This window comes from Homo sapiens, chromosome 13 (assembly GCF_000001405.40).
Source record: "Homo sapiens chromosome 13, GRCh38.p14 Primary Assembly".
Taxonomy (NCBI): Eukaryota; Metazoa; Chordata; class Mammalia; order Primates; family Hominidae; genus Homo; species Homo sapiens.
Window position 1 is genome coordinate 24912141 of NC_000013.11, and position 16296 is coordinate 24928436.

Sequence of the window (16296 nt, forward strand, 5' to 3'; positions counted from 1 at the left end):
CCTCCCATCTCCCTCCTCCTATCTTTCCTGGTAAGAAGTTTTAGACAGGGACCCCTAGGTAACTAAATCAGCCACCGAAAATCTAAAACTCATATCCTTACGAAGGAAATCTTATCAACTATCTCAACTAAGAAACCGAAACAGTCATATAAATCCTTTGATTGTTAAAATAGGATGGGCATCAGTACATCATCCAATTTTTTCCCCTAATACTTGATCAACCATTTCTTACTTTTCGCCAAATGAGGTAACAACTTAAAGTTATTATAAGTGCTAATTAAACACACTTAAATGTTTCACATTAGACAAAGGGCAAAATCTGGTATTCTGAGGATTTCAGAGTGAAGGGGAAAAAACAAGAAGACCTAGAACAAATGACTTTATTACATAAACAGAAACCTGCAATGACATAAATTCACAGTAGGCCAAATCCTATTGTACCTGTTCAAGTTTTTTAAAAAGTGGGTCTTTATAAGCCCCTTCTTTGAATTCACTCGCAAGATCTGGGATGAAGTCATTTTTGTTTTCTTCCTGGTGTCCAGGAGCACTGTGACATGCCGCTACCTGTGGTCCCTTTTTAATGCAAGGAAAGGCTGTATGGGTTTCAGATTTATCTGACTGTGGTTTGTAAGGGTTGTTTGACTCCAACTTCTGTTCTTCAAGAAGTGAATCTTCTTCATTTATAAAGCTGAAGCTATCAGAAAAATGTGTGCCTTTAATAGGAAAGCTGGTAGAAATGTCCACAGCTGCTCGCTTCTCTTTGTCTGCTTCCAAAATAGGAAATCCACGATTTAATATGACCCCAGCCCGAGAAGGATTGGTCATCCACTGGGTTAGGAAGTTCTGCCCACTGTTTAACTCTGAAGAGGTTGGCATCAGGAACATCTTAGTCCAATGACACTATTATATTTAAACAATGCAAAGGCTAGAAGAGCTATTGATTTCCAACACCTGTAGACAAAAATAGCCAACAAAATGTATTAGGTAAAGCCATTAGATGTCCTACCAAAAATGAGCCCAAACCTCAACCCAGCATAAAAATGTCCTCAATATTTCATATACAAAAGACCTTAACTAGCAAAGCAATTGGGCATTGAGCTACATTTTTCTAAGTCTTAAAAATAACCAAATTGAGTAGATCAAAAACGTAAGATCCTTCTTGACTTAACCATTCAATTACTAATGATTTTATACAAGTGCTAGATTAGCTGAACTAAACAATGGAAGATAAAATACCTTTTAAGTTATTCACTTAAAAAAAAAAAGCCACTATCAGATATTACCCACACTAAGCACTTTCTTGCTTCTGGCCCTAGTTTAACATTGCTTCTTTGCCCAGTTGGTGAACCTGTTTTCTCCCTAGTTCTAGCACAAAAGTCAACACCAGCACTCCTGGCTTTACCTGGCAGTTTCACCTGTCCCTTCCTCTCTCGTCTCCCTACTAACACCTCACCCACCAGATAGCCCCTCATCTGTATTCCTAGAGGTAAAATAGTGACATCACTCTTCTAGCACTCATCTCATTATTAGTGGCATTTTGCTTTCATGTTCATTACTAATCCGTGAAGTTCCTTGAAGATATCTATATATTCACTACTGCCAAGCACCATGTCTGGCAGGTAGGAGAAATGTAATTCTTATGGCATAAGCCAATGAAAATTACATTGGCTCATGCCATAACTCTGTATGAATTATCAGACTTTAAAATTAACCAAATTCCTACTGTAACTTTGCACTGTGTGATAGATATACTTAAACAGGACATAACAGAGAAGATAAGCCTTGCCTCTGTCTGTGTCTGATTTTACTCAACTAACATTTATTGGGTTCTTACTCTGTGCCAGATATTGTTTTTGCCCCTGGGTACATAGCAGTTCATAAATCACAGTCTAGTGGGGAAGACACACACACACACGCACACACACATTATACAGTATGTTAAATAGCAATAAGTGCAAAGGGGAAAAATAAAAGCCACGTGGGAAAAGGAGGTTGTAACTTTAGACAAGGTGGACAGCATCCTCATTTAGAAGGTAAAATTAAGGACCAAGGGATGGAGAAGGTACAAGTTGTGCAGCTATCAGGGGCAGGGTAAGTAAAGACCCAGCCACCCAGCCTTCCTAACCTTCATCTGCAAGACACTCCCACTGACATCCCATTCCTCCAGAAACCCCCAGTTCTCAAACCCCATCACCATTACCTACCTATTTAAACCTATTATATCACTCACCACAGGAAGCCCTGAGATCCAGAGCCAGGCTTCACTTCTTACACAGTAATCCCTACACCTTATTCTGTTCCATCTCCCAAACATCCGAGCCCCAAAACACTAACAGTCCATCATCAGCAAAATCCCCATTATCCTCAACCTCTTCTCTGAGGACTCCCTCACCTTCCTGAGAACATCTGTTTGTATGGAGCCCATACTCCAGTATCACTGAGCCTGGAGACAAAACATATATTCTTATTCTTTTGCTCCTTCCAGACTACACACTCCTTTTCTAGACCATAAAAAGCAATTTTACTTGGGAGTTCTGAGGTGGCAGGATTGCTTGAGCCCAGGAGGTCGAGGCTGCTGTAAGCCGTGATTGTGTCACTGAACTCCAGCCTGGGCAACAGAACAAAACCCTGTCTCAAAAAATAAATAAATAAGTCGGGTGTGGTAACTCACGCCATAATCCCAGCATTTTGGGAGGCCAAGGCAGCCAGATCACTTGAAGTTAGGAGTTCGAGACCAGCCTGGCCAAGATGGTGAAACCCCGTTTCTAATAAAAATATAAAAAAATTAGCCAGGCGTCAGGGTGCACGCCTGTAATCCCAGCTACTCAGGAGGCTGAGGCGGGAGAATCGCCTGAACCTGGGAGGCAAAGGCTGCAGTGAGCCAAGATCACACCACTGCACTCCAGCCTAGGCAACTGAGTGAGACTCTCTCTCAAAAAATAATTAATTAATTAATTAATAATAAATTAATAAAAAGCAATTCTGACTCTCATATGACCAAACTATACAATCTACTGCCCCTCCTTTATTGTCTACCAACCTCCAGAGATCAATAGGATCTTCTCCCTCATTTCTTAAAATTTCCTGGCTGAGCACCTGGAAGAACAGATTTGCCATTCACTGAAATGCGGAAGATGGAGGATTGAAACAGGTTTTGGGGAATCAGAGACCAAGAGTTGAATTCAGGACATTTTAAGATGCCTATGAAATATGCACATAGAGACACTGGGTCAGCAGCTGGGTGCACTAGAATGGAACTCACCGAAGAGGCCAAGGCTGTGAAGCATAAATTTGGACATCCTCAGCATAAAGATGGTATTTAAAGCCTTGACACTGGATGAGATCAATGAGGGATTGAGGGTAGTCAAAAAGAGAGGAGGCGGCTGGGCGCAGTGGCTCACGCCTGTAATCCCAGCACTTTGGGAGGCCGAGGCGGGTGGATCACCTAAGGTCAGGAGTTCGAGACCAGTCTGGCCAACATGGTGAAACCCCATCTCTACTAAAAATACAAAAAATTAGCTAGGTGTGGTGGCGGGAGCCTGTAATCCCAGCTACTCAGGAGACAGGAGAATTGCTTGAACCCAGGAGGCGGGGGTTGCAGTGAGCCGAGATAGCGTTATTGCACTCCAGCCTGGGCAACAAGTGCAAGACTCCATCTCGAAAACAACAACAACAACAACAACAAAAACAGATAAGAGGCAAAAAGTGTAGCGTCCTTGAGGCTAAGTGATGAAAGTGTTTCGAGGAGGAAAGAGCTATGTTAAATGCTGTGAAACAGATGAAGGGTAAGGAGAACTGAGAACTGACCTCTGAATTTGGCAAAGCAAAGGTCATGAGAACTTCAATGAGAGTAGCTGAGGGCAGGGACAGCAAAACCTTGAGTGGAGAGGATGCATGACAGAATAAGAAATTGAAGGCAGTAGGCACAGCTAACACCAGGAGTTCTGTTATAAAGGGAAGGAATTACATAGAAAAGCAAGGTGAAGAGGAGTATTTTTTACAATAGGAGAAATAAAAGCATGTTTGTGCAGGCTGATGAGGATGGAGAAAGGGGAGAATTGCTACAGTCATGTTCTTGAGGAGATGGGAAGAGTCTAGTACTGAAGTGGAATAACATCTCACACTACTTTCCAGACACAATTCTAGACTTTATCAATATAATACAGCAAAATATATATATAATCAAAGGAAAATGAAAAAGGGCAATGTGGAGGCAAACACGTATGTCATTTCATACTCGGTGTCTAAAAAACATAAACATATAAAAAATATAAACAGAAAAAGAAATACAGATGCCAAAACATTAAAACATGCGCATTCTCACTCCACTGAAGAGATGGAAATGAAAACAGTAACATTACCATTTTTTTCCCACCCTGGGTTGGCAAAAACTAAAAACTAGTAATACCCAGTAGGAAAAACAGAAACTCTTTTTTGCTTTTGTTTGTTTTTCACCATTCAACTTGAAGAAACTCTTTTGTGAAGTACTTACTGAGCAAATAAACTGGTACAACATTTTGAAGGACAATATGACAACATTCAGCCAACTGTAAATGCAGAGGAACTTTGACTCAACAATTTCACATCTAGGCATTTTGTCCCACAGTTATACTGGCATAAACTCACATTTGCAATAAACTGAAAGTAAATGTCCATTAACAGGAGATCAGCTAATCATGGTAATCATATTATGCAACTGTTAAAAAGAACAAGTAAGCTCTTTACTGATATGGAAGTAGTGAATATATCCAAGATATGTTGCTAGTTACAAAGACCAAGTGCACAGTAGTGTGTATTATCAGAAATAAAGACAAAAAAATACATTTACGGCCCGGTGCGGTAGCTCACGCCTATAATCCCAGCACTTTGGGAGACCAAGACGGGAGGATCACGAGGTCAGGAGATCGAGACCATCCTGGCTAACACAGTGAAACCCCGTCTCTACTAAAAATACAAAAAATTAGCCGGGGGTGGTGGCGGGCACCTGTAGTCCCAGCTACTCGGGGAGGCTGAGGCAGAAGGATGGCGTGAACCTGGGAGGCAGCAGATCTTGCAGTGAGCCGAGATCGCGCCACTGCACTCCTGCCTGGGGGACAGAGCCACTCTGTCTCAAAAATAAATAAATAAATTACAATTACATGGACCTATGCATTTAGTATGGCAACCATATAGTCACATGGCTACTGAGCACTTGAAATGTGGCTAATGTGACTGAAGAACTGAATTTTCCACTTTAATTAAAGTTAATTAAATTTAAAAAGTGAATAAGTACAAAATATTTTTCTCTTAAACACTTTTATTCTCTCGGTAGGACTGCATTTCACTTTAACCACTGCATGGCATAAGATGCTGCTGTACTGAAGCCCATGTCAGTGTGCATCACCCCCCAGATTGCAAAGAAACATGTCTGCAATCTCATCAGTGTCAATGGACTGATTCTGTTTGAATAATTTTTTTCAACACATGGATATAACACTGTTATGTGTCTATCTGAATAGTTTATGAAAACAGTACAAGTTACAGTGATCTATTTAAATTGTAATTGGTAATTATCTTGGTCCATTTTCTGCTGCTATAAAGAATACCAGAGAAGAGACTAGGTAATTTATAAAGAAATTTATTTCTCACAGTTCTGGAGCTGGGAAAAACAAGAGCATGGCATTGGCAACTGGCAAGTGTTGTCCCATGGGGGAAGAGTAGAAAGGCAAAACAGCCTGTGAGAGAGAGGCTCTCTTTTATAACAAAGCCACCCCTGAAATCAGTAACCCACTTCTGAGATAACAGCATTAATCCATTCATTAGGGTGGAGCCCTCATGACCTAATCACCTCTTAAATTTCTCACCGCTCAACACTGTTGCATTGGGAATTAAGTTTCCAACAGGAGTTTTGGAGCGGACAGTCAAGCCATAGCAGGAATTAAGTTGAAATGTTTAGTATTTTAATTATGGCATATTTTTCTAGTTTGAAAAAGATGTATGAACAATTTTTAAAATTTAAAACAAAGCTACACTATGGAAGACTCAAGTGGAGATGCAGAAGCTAGTACTATGACCAGAACAGTGAAGGAAAAAAGACTGGAAGGAGGCACCTCACAAGTTTCACATCAAATGGCAACCACAATTTGCTGTGGCAAAGCGAACAGAAAAAGTTTTAAAAAATTTTAAGATAACTAATATTGAGACATTTTCAGCAAAAACACAGCAATTTTTTATAAGTTTATTCTCAATAATAAAAAAACAAATTGATATGCAGTTGACCCTTGAACAACACAGTAAGGGTTAGGGGGACCAACTCCCCATGCAACCGAAAATCTAAGTGTAACTTTGACTTCTCCAAAACTTAACTGCTAATAGCCTACTGTTGACTGGAGGCCTTATCAATAACAGTTAACACATATTTTGTATGTTATGTGTATTATATATGGTATTTTTACAATAGTGTAAGCTAGAGAAGAAAAGTTAAGAAAATAATAAAAAATATACATATTTACTATTGGTTAAGTGGAAATGAATCATCATAAAGGTATTCAGACTTCATTTATGTTTTGTGTCTAAAAAACATAAACATATGAAAGATATGCAGGGAGACCTTTATGATGATCCACTTCCACTTAATGGATAGTAAAGGTCTTTGTGTCACTAGTCCTCACATTGGACTAGGCTTAGGAAGAGAAAGGGTTGGTTTTGCTGTCTCGAGGGTGACAGAAGTGGAAGAAAATCCAAGCATAAGCGAACCCACAAAGTTGAAACTCATGTTGTTCGAGAGTCAACTGTAATTAGTCACCTGTGTCAGAACTAAATAGCCAACAAAAAAAAAGTTTTATGATTTTGAACAGAATCTGACCTTTTAACTTTGGCCAGTTATAAAAAAGCCTGGAAAGAAGGAGGGTGAGGGGAGAGAAAGAGATAGAAATGAAAAGAAAAAAGAAAATTATTTTCAGATGAAGAGGAGGTAAATAGGTTATCTGAGTTGAGGAAATTTTGTTAGAACACTGTGAGATTTAAAAAGATATTTTAATTAAAAGGTTAAAGATATTTTCTAAAAAGTGAAAAATTTTCAACGAAGTGACCAAACAATTGTCCATAGACCCTTCTATTACCATCCAGGTTCAAAGCCATAAAAAATTACAAGCACTTGTCTTTAGCTTTATCTGAGTAATGCAATGAGAGACTGACCAATCACCAATTTAGGTGTGTTTTATCTCACAGATTATCTAAATTTACAAAGAGATGATATCAATTCAAAGCCTGATACTGAACCTGTGACATGGATATTTTTTAATCTTTTTTTTTTTCCTTGAGACAGGGTCTCACTGTCACCCAGGCTGGAGTGCAGTGGCATGATCACGGCTCAGTGGAGCCTCTACCACCCAGGCCCCAGTGATCCTCCCACCTCAAGCCTCCGGAGTAGCCAGGACCATAGGCATATACCACAACACCCAGCTCATCTTTTAATTTTTTGTAAAGAGTGGTCCCCCTGTGTTGCCCATGCTGGTCTCAAACTCCTGGGCTCAAGCCATTCTCCCACCTTGGCTTCCCAAAGTGCTGGGATTACAGGCGTGAGCCCCTGCGCCCAGTATTTTATGTCTGACAGAAGAATTTTAGCTAGATATGAAAACATTACTTTTTTTCTTTTTTTCTGAGACAGGGTCTCACAATGTCACCCAGGCTGAAGTGCATTGGCACAATCACGGCTCACGGCAGCTTCAACCTCCAGTGCTTAGGTGATCCTCCCATCTCAGCCTCCAGAGTAGCTGGGCCTACAGGTATGTGTCACCATGCCCAGCTTATTTTTTATTTTTTAATTTTTTTGTAGAAACAGGGTGTCCCTATGTTGCCCAGGCTGATCTTGAACTCCTAGGCTCAAGCCATCCTCCTGCTTCGGCCTCCCAAAGTGCTGGTATTACAGGTGTGAGTCACTGCGCCCAGCCTAAAAATCAGTTTCTATCATGACAGATGGTGTCATTCTATAAGGCAAAAAATCTGAATTTAATGGGATTTTACAACAAGAGACTGCTGTTTCCCTCGCTGATTCATTCCCCTGTATAATACACATTGAAAATTCTTGTGTTTGGTTTTCTGAAGCATAATCCACGAATAGTATCATGAATATAGTTGTTACAATTGTTCAGTATGTACAAATGCTATCAACTGCCAGTTTATAGAACTGTTAAAAGACATAGAAGACAGTGAACATAATGATACTGTGTTTTTGCCATCGCTCCCTGGTTGAGTTGTAGAAGAGTTGTATAAAGGCTTACTGTACCATTAATTGCAACTGAAGATTTTCTTGGAACAAGATGATTGCCTGCCAACCATTTAATAACCAAAAACAAAAATGCCAATGTGATGTACATTTTCTCACTGTATCACACTTTGAGAACCACAGCTATTCAGGCATTTAAAAAAACAAAAATTGCTGCCACAGGCAGTAACAAAAATAAATAATGATGTGTGAACATCAGACAAATATGATTCCTTTTTTTTTTTTTTTTTTTGAGATGGAGTCTCACTCTGTTGCCCAGGCTAGAGTGCAGTGGTGTGATCTTGGCTCACTGCAACCTCAGCCTCCCGGGTTCAAGCGATTCACCCACCTCAGCCTCCAGAGTAGCTGGGACTACAAGCATGCACCACCATACCTGGCTTTTTTTTTTTTTTGTATTTTTAGTAGAGACGGGGTTTCACTATGTTAGTCAGGTTGTTCTCAAACTCCTGACCTCAAGTGATCCACCTGGCTTAGCCTCCCAAAATGCTGGGATTACAGGCATGAGCCACCGCACCTGGCCCATGTTTCCATGTATATGAAGCTGAAGAACAGGCAAAATAAACCCATAGTTATAAATGGCATATTGGTCGTTATCCAGGAAAATGGGAGTTGTCCTGTCTGTGTGAAAGTTGATCATACAAATTGAGTCATTCTTATAGCCAACTAAACAATCAAGAAGTCAAGAGGGAAAGGCACTCAGGACACACAACTTTGCTCCAAGAATGGAATTCTCTATAAGTCAGTATGCTGAAACTGCCGGTTGTAACCCGAGACCAATTTGATCTATAGATGCTGAGGTAACTTGCTGCAATTGTAGGACTAATTTTGCCCTCCACCATGGCCCACTCGGTAGGACCTGCTGCCTCCCCAGAACCTTAGGAGAACCAATGAACTTTCTCGAAGAGCGACAGATATAACAATTCTCTTTTTTATAAAACCTCCAGCTTTCTCTTTGTTCTTTGGACATACTGAAGACCACCTGGTCTGTACGCCTGGAACCGCCATTCTTTCTTCCCAAATAAAACGTTAAACTTAAGAGATTCATCTCCAAATTTTTGACTTCAACAACTGGGAAGGTTAATACAGGGGGTGGATACACTTAGGCTGTACACTTAAGATTAGCGCACTTTACTGGATATCTGTTATTCCTGAATAATTTGTAAAAACTTTTTCTAAGCAAATTGTTTTTCAGTAGGAAACCAATCTAAAAAAGTAATGACTTTTTTTTTTTCAAAATCAACCACGTAACTTTGCTTAATTTCAATGACCTTAGCAGAAAATCTTTCGAAATCCAAATTCAGAAGGGAGACAAACTACAAGGTCATTTCATAATATGGAAAACTAGAAAAATTCCCTACTAGACTGACAAGTGCAAGCAGTCTTGGGATGCAGCAGCCAGACTTTTGCATCTCCTCCTCCAACTCCCCACCAAACACACCTTCTATACCTTCAATTTCATGACCGCGATTCTAAAAATATATTTAATGTCAGCATGAAGTATAAAAAAAGCGTCACCAGAACCTGCTACTTATTATTGATACTGAGGTCTTGGTAAAGGGAGCATTGATAATATATATGCCGAGATAGGATTAGTATGTGGACTCAGACTTTACAGATATCAAAATCTGAAGGACACGGGTGCACGTGTATGTCAAACTCATCAAATGGAATGCATTTAAACATGTGCCATTTTTATTGTATAGCAATTATACCTCAATAAAACTTTTAAAAAATGTAACAAACTGACAGCCTTGAAATCTCCAGAAAGTGCTATGTAAACATTCTTTAAAGCAGTATTGAAAAAAAGATAAATTCTCTGCACGGTGAGGGAGGAGAGTGGATACAAACAGCAAATTCAAAGCCACTCTTAGACCGTGAGAAGTAACTAGTTGGTCTGGGAAGTGATTTAGCAGTCCCCTAAAATACAACACGTTCTTGAAAGCCATGAATCCACACGAAGCTTCAAGAGAGAAGCCCTTGACAAAGCTGGGGCAAGACCGGCCCTTAGGACAGCCAGCAACGCTACTTCACCACCCTGCTCCAGCGGACTGCGGCTGCCGCGCTGCCCACAGGAACTCAAGTTCCGCCACAGCCAGGTCAGAGAGACAGACACCCCAGAGAGGCCGGCTTCCCCAGCTCTGCGAAGAACAAAGCAGCGCGAATGAACGAAGCCACTGAACTGCCGTGGGCCTCAGCGCGCCCGTGGGCCTGAGCGCGTCCCGGCGCCCCGCTCCCTCCTCGCCCCGCCGAGCCAACCCCGAGGTCCGAGCAGAGTCCTGCCCGCCCACCGCCGTCCATCTCCGGCGCAGGGCGGCGGACAAAGAGCTCCTCCGCTCTTTTCGCCCACAAATTACCGCTCCGTGAAGCCTGGGCAGCTCAGCAGCACGAACCGACACCTCAATCTCCGCAGCATTTACAAATGGGCCGCCACAATCGCCGCCTCTGTCGGAGCCCCGCCCCCGTCCCGAGGTCCTGTGGGAAGTGAGGATCTCACCCGCGCGTCTGCGCTAAAGCGCAGGCACCGCTGAGCCCAGTGAAACTACAACTCCCAGTGACGCCACAGCGACGGGCGTTGCCCGGCGGGGGATGGACTGCGCGCCGCCTTCCGACCAGCAGCGGGCCAGTGGTCGACGTAGGCGGGCGGCGTGGCGGGGCGGAAAACCGTTTCCGGGAGAGACCTTCCGTGGTGGACGTCGCCCCAGGCTCCCACACTTAGAAAACTAAAGGGAACGCCTAACGGAGCGATGGATCTCCGTGTTCCCAGCAAAGCAGGGAGCACGGAGAGTCAAAGCTAACATAGAGCCCAACCGACGCTTAAAGGAGGTGTTTTGGGTTTTGTTTTTTTTTTTTCTATTTGCGTACGGTCTATTTTGTCGTTTTTTTGGTTTGGTTTGGTTTTTTTCTTTGTTTTCCGCTTTGGCTGAGGTGACTTAGTAAAGGAGAAAAAGGGCAGTCCGCTACACCATTTCGTAAGACGAAAATAACCCTATGAGAATTCACTCCAAAAATAGGCATCTTTCATCTCTCCTCAAATGGCTAATCGGTGGTTTGGCAGAGTGTGTCCATTAGATTCTGAAACTAGTTTGAATACTGACAGTGCAGAATTCAAGAAATTTTTTTGTTTTGTTTCGTTTTAACTGCCACGGCCCTTTAATCTAGGAAGTTACAGCACCGTGAGTTACCACAGTACTACATACCTGGCTTCCATGTCTGATTAAACAGCAGGCCAAGTAAAATGTTTAAAGAAATCAAATGAAGTGCCATTTATAACCGTTATAACTGAAACAAACGACTGCTAAAGACAAAACTATTTCACAGAAATTTGGTCCTCCAAAATTTGTTTTGCTTTCTACTTCAAAAAGAGTCTACTTCTCTAAATCAAGATTTCGGTTTTGCTTCTTTTTTCAATTTTTCTTTTCTTTTTTTAATTTTTATTTTTTGAGATGGAGTCTCGCTCTGTTGCCCAGGCTGGAGTACAATGGCGCGATCTCCGCTCACTGCAAGCTCTGCCTGCCGGGTTCACGCCATTCTCCTGCCTCAGCCTCCCGAGTAGCTGGGATTACAGGCGCCCGCCACCACGCCTGGCTAATTTTTTTATTTTTATTTTTAGTAGAGAAGGGGTTTCACCGTGTTAGCCAGGATGGTCTTGATCTTCTGACCTCGTGATCCGCCCGCCTCGGCCTCCCAAAGTGCTGGAATTACAGGCGTGAGCCACCGCGCCCGGCCCAATTTTTCTTTTTAATTTTCACTGTGGGTGAGGAAGCTAAAGCCCGAGACTTCCGAGATCACACAGCTACTTAAGATGCCAGACAAGGACCCAAACAATCTTCCTTTTCATTTATGATAGCCCTTTGGCTTGAAAGCATGCCCAAAAGTCTCATCATTCTTCCTAAAATGTGTATCTTTAAGGATAGTCGCAATATCCTCTATTTTTGTGCCTATATTTTATTCGTATGTTTTTATTTTAATATAGTATGTAGTGCCACATTGTTTGTTGATTGAATAAATAAATGAATCTTTTACCACACTCAAGTCTTAACTGGCTGTTAAATTAAGGTTATAATGTGTAAGTTTTCACCTGTAGCCCATGTAATTCTCAAAACTGCCCACTAAGCTTCAAGGGTTCAAATCCATTACAAGGTGGAAAGGCTAGTGGGGAGGAACTTCCATCTTCTACTCTGCCAGACAATAAAATGTTCTACCTTATCAGTGGTTCCTATCCTTGTTGCATCTTCAGATGGTGCTGTAGAGAAAAATTAGACTAACGGTTGTGGCACAGGGGTTTTAATGCCAGATTACCCGTTCTGATACAATTCTTTATGCCATCATAGGAGTCAAGAGGGCACTCCTATGTCATGGTTAAGAGTCCAGGATTTATCAGGCAGACCTGGGATCAAATCCTAGCTTGATAACTTACAAACAGCTTTGTAGTCTTCAGCACTCAACTTTTCTGAAACCAGTCTTCTCATCTGCAAAACAGGGGTGGATAATAATGAGACCTTCATAGGACTGTCAAGAAGATTACATTAAAAGAAAGACTATGTATGAAAAAGTAGCAAAAAACCTCCACATAGTAAAAAGTCAATGAACAGGAGGTGTTTTCATCTTTATAAAGAATTTAACTGTTGGTGAACTCTTGTCTACCAAAGCCTAGCTCTGTGGGTCTTGTCAAATGCTGTGCCAGACACAGAATAATACTTATTGTATTCCCAAATTATTTGGAAATAATTCTTTTTCATTATTTATTTTTTTGGAGACAGGGGTCTCACTCTGTTGCCCAGGCTGGTCTCTAACTCGTAGGCTCAAGCAGTCCTCTCACCTTGGCCTCTGAAAGTGCTGGAATTACAGGCATGAGCCACTGTGCTTGGCTGGTAATAATTCTTTTAATCAAAGTTGATCTGAGTGACAAAGAGTTGACAGCTTTTCATTGCTGGTCTGATGGTAGCAAGTGTCCACTCTATCCAGAGAGGACATGTCAGGTGCAGTGGCTCACACCTGTAATCCCAGCACTTTGGGAGACTGAAGCGGATAATTTGAGCCTAGACGTTTGAACGTTAGCCAGGTATGATGGTGTGCACCTGTAGCCCTACATACTTGGGAGGCTGAGGCAGGAGGATCACTTCAGCCCAGGAGTTGAAGGTTATGATCACACCACGAGACTACAGCCAGGGCAACAGAGTGAAACCGCCAACTCTTAAAAAGAAAAAAAGTGGGGGAGGACATCAGGGCTAGCCTGGCCAAGGAATGATTCCTATAGATCAGTCAGAGTGGTGGGAGAAACTATAGGGAAAGGAGCAGACCTTCTGAAAAGTCGGAAGCCTCTGCATAGCCTCCAGGGAGAATAAGCTGAAGGCAGCTGTTTTCTGACCCTGAGGCAGAGGGCAAGGAGTAGGTACCAGGAAGCATAGGGGAATTTATCGTAAATAGGCTTGTTTACTTACATTGACCAGGAGCTGACCTTTGATCATCCACATGCGTGACCCGTTCCCTGAAAGGGGAACAATAATGTTAATTACCCACAGATTGTTTTTGCTCCAGGCTTTCAGCATTATGTCTATACTGAATAAAAGCAAGCAGCTCCAGCTGTTTGCCTGCTCACTCTTTGGCCGCTAGTGCCAAGCAGTCCCCTAGCTGCTCTTACACTGCATATCTGCGTCTGAGTACTCGTTTCATCCATCGTCCAGCCAGGGTCTGTGGGACAGACCCAGCAACTGGTGCCCTGTGTGAGGAATGCTGCAACAGATCACGATGGAACCCCCAAAAATGAGGTGAAGAGACTGTGCGGGAAGTAAGTAATTGGTGCCCACTCAGGATTTCCAAGTTTGAGGGAATTTTCAACCTAGGGTTTCATCATGGGACAACAGTTATCAGCTCAACAGCAACACTATATGTAAGTATTGAAACAGCTGCTTAAAGCTAGCAGAGCCTGGGTCTCGGAGGCTCAGTTAAGGGGCCTAATGCAAACTGTTGTTTTCAATAACCCATGGTTCCCAGAAGAAGGCACGTTAGACCAAGAACTCTGGGAGCAAGTGAGGGGAAATCTTAAATAACATCATGCACAAGGGAAACGGGTCCCAGTAACATCTTTAACGTTATGGGCCTTAATCAGGGCTGCTTTGGCCCCACTCTACACAAAAGAGCCTAAAAAGGAAAGGGAAGAGGAACCATCCACCTACCTGACCGCCTCCTCCTCCCTCAGCCCCACTGTTACTAGGTAAAGGTGCCACAGAGGAGACAGAGTTTCCCTGAGCCCCCTCCTCCAATAAATTGGAAAAAAAGACAAGGGATACACTACAGTTACGGGACCCTGTCTTAGGCAAGTGGCATTAGAAGGGGAGCTCTTGGCCTGCCCTGTGATGCAAGATCAACACGGCAATCAGGTATATGAGCCCATCACTTTCAACACCTATAAAGAGATAAGAAAAAGCATTAGAGAAAACAGAGCTGCTAGCCCATCTACAAAAGGATTAATTGAGGCCATAGCAGACAACTTCCTTATGATCCCATGGGACAGGTCAGTGCTAGCTCAAACAACTTTAGAGGCCAGTCAATACCTCCTCTGGATGGCAGAATATGATGAGTTGTGTGAATGACAAACCAACCAGAATCAATTGGCTGGGTAAAACATATGGGTCACTCAGAAACAGAAAATTGTCGGCACTGGAGAAGTGCACACAGCCAAGCAGAGTGCACGCCCTCTAAAGTCACGATTTGGAGGGAAGAAAAGCAACTATACAACCTCTAATCATGCCCATCCCTGTTCATCTTTGGGAATGGGACCTTATTAGCCCAATGGGGGGGTCACTATGCAGAGCCCTTTCTAATAGTGGCCACTGTTGTAAGTCCTCCCCTACCCCTGACATGGCTGTCTCAAGATCCAATTTGGGTAGAACGGTGACCTTTAAAGGGAGAGAAATTACAACAAACCCATGAATTAATTGAGGAACAATTAAAAGCCAGCCATATAGAACCAGCAGACAGCCCTTGGAATTCACCCATTTTTTGTCATTCCCATAAAGTCTGGTAAATGGAGAGTTCTGCATGACTTACAGGCTATCAATGCTAATTTGCAACCTATGGGGCCCCTTCCACAGGGGCTCCCTTCCCCCCGCAGTGATTCCTCGAGTTTTGAGTCATTATTGACTTAAAAGACTGCTTTCATACTATTCTCCTTGCAAAACAGGACAGAGAAAAATTTACGTTTACAATACCAGCTATCAATAATGAAGGCCCAGCTCCCTGATTTCACTGGAAAGTACTTCCCCAAGGAATGCTGAACAGTCCTACCATGTGTCAGTATCGTGTAAATAAGGCTTTGCTCCCCAGTAGAAAAGAATTTCCTAATTGCAAGATAATCCATTATATGGATGACATCTTACTGGCAGCCCCAACGGAGCCAATACTTTTGAATTTATATGCCTCTGTCAAAAAGAATACACAGTTAACAGGCTTAATCATAGCACCTGAAAAGGTACAGATGTCCTCTCCTTGGAAATATCTTGGATATATACTAACATCCCAGTCAGTAAGACCTCAGAAGGTTAAATCGAATACTAACAACAGGCTTGTTTACTTATGTTGACCAGGAGCTGACCGTTGATCATTCACACACGTGACCCCTTCCCTGAAGGGGGAACAATAATGTTAATTACCTGCAGATTGTGTTTTCTCCAGGCTTTCAGCATTATGTCTGTACTGAATAAAAACAGGCAGCTCCAGCTGTTCAAGACTACTCACTCTTCAGCCACTAGTGCCCAGCAGTCCTCTAGCTGCTCTTAAACACTGCATACCTGTGTCTGAGTACTCCTTTCATCTGTTGCTCAGCCAGAGTCTGCAGGACAGACCTGGCAGATCCCCAAGCCCAGGTGATCCGGGCTAGAAAGGGGAACTCCAGCAGGTTGGGGAGATGCATGTGTCTGGCCTCTAGACAAACCCAAGAAAAACCACACCCTCCTTTACCTGCAGGAAGAGTGAAGGAGTTCTTCACCAAGGCCTGAAACAGATTTCTAGAATTACTTCAGTAAAGAAGT

The 16296-nt window shown here is 42.5% G+C and overlaps 1 protein-coding gene across 11 annotated transcripts in view, besides 2 other annotated features; it reads right to left on the minus strand.

The window, feature by feature from the left end:
* CPAP (centrosome assembly and centriole elongation protein) overlaps window positions 1–16296 on the minus strand; it is a 51722-nt gene that overhangs the window by 29862 nt on the left and 5564 nt on the right. For 10 of the 11 annotated variants that reach the window (NR_047595.2, NR_047594.2, XR_941627.2 and 7 more), the window contains exons 1-2: window positions 10621–10721; window positions 442–951 (exon numbers count right to left, since the gene is read on the minus strand). Coding sequence is in view for 7 of the 11 variants with exons in the window: in NM_018451.5 (NP_060921.3) it covers window positions 442–885 (444 nt within the window). In the remaining 4 variants the exon portion in view is untranslated. Of the gene's footprint in view, window positions 1–441; window positions 952–10620; window positions 10722–12683; window positions 12736–13707; window positions 13755–16296 lie in introns of those variants that run through there. The other variant, XM_047430483.1, reaches the window with a different exon arrangement.
* Window positions 9865–10766: an enhancer, noted in NCBI's record as "NANOG-H3K27ac-H3K4me1 hESC enhancer chr13:25496143-25497044 (GRCh37/hg19 assembly coordinates)". NCBI's record gives its function as "activates a minimal SCP1, AML or CMV promoter by ChIP-STARR-seq in naive H9 embryonic stem cells {active_cell/tissue: H9 hESC(naive)}" and the evidence as "EXISTENCE:reporter gene assay evidence [ECO:0000049][PMID:30033119]".
* Window positions 10767–11668: an enhancer, noted in NCBI's record as "NANOG-H3K27ac-H3K4me1 hESC enhancer chr13:25497045-25497946 (GRCh37/hg19 assembly coordinates)". NCBI's record gives its function as "activates a minimal SCP1, AML or CMV promoter by ChIP-STARR-seq in primed H9 embryonic stem cells {active_cell/tissue: H9 hESC(primed)}" and the evidence as "EXISTENCE:reporter gene assay evidence [ECO:0000049][PMID:30033119]".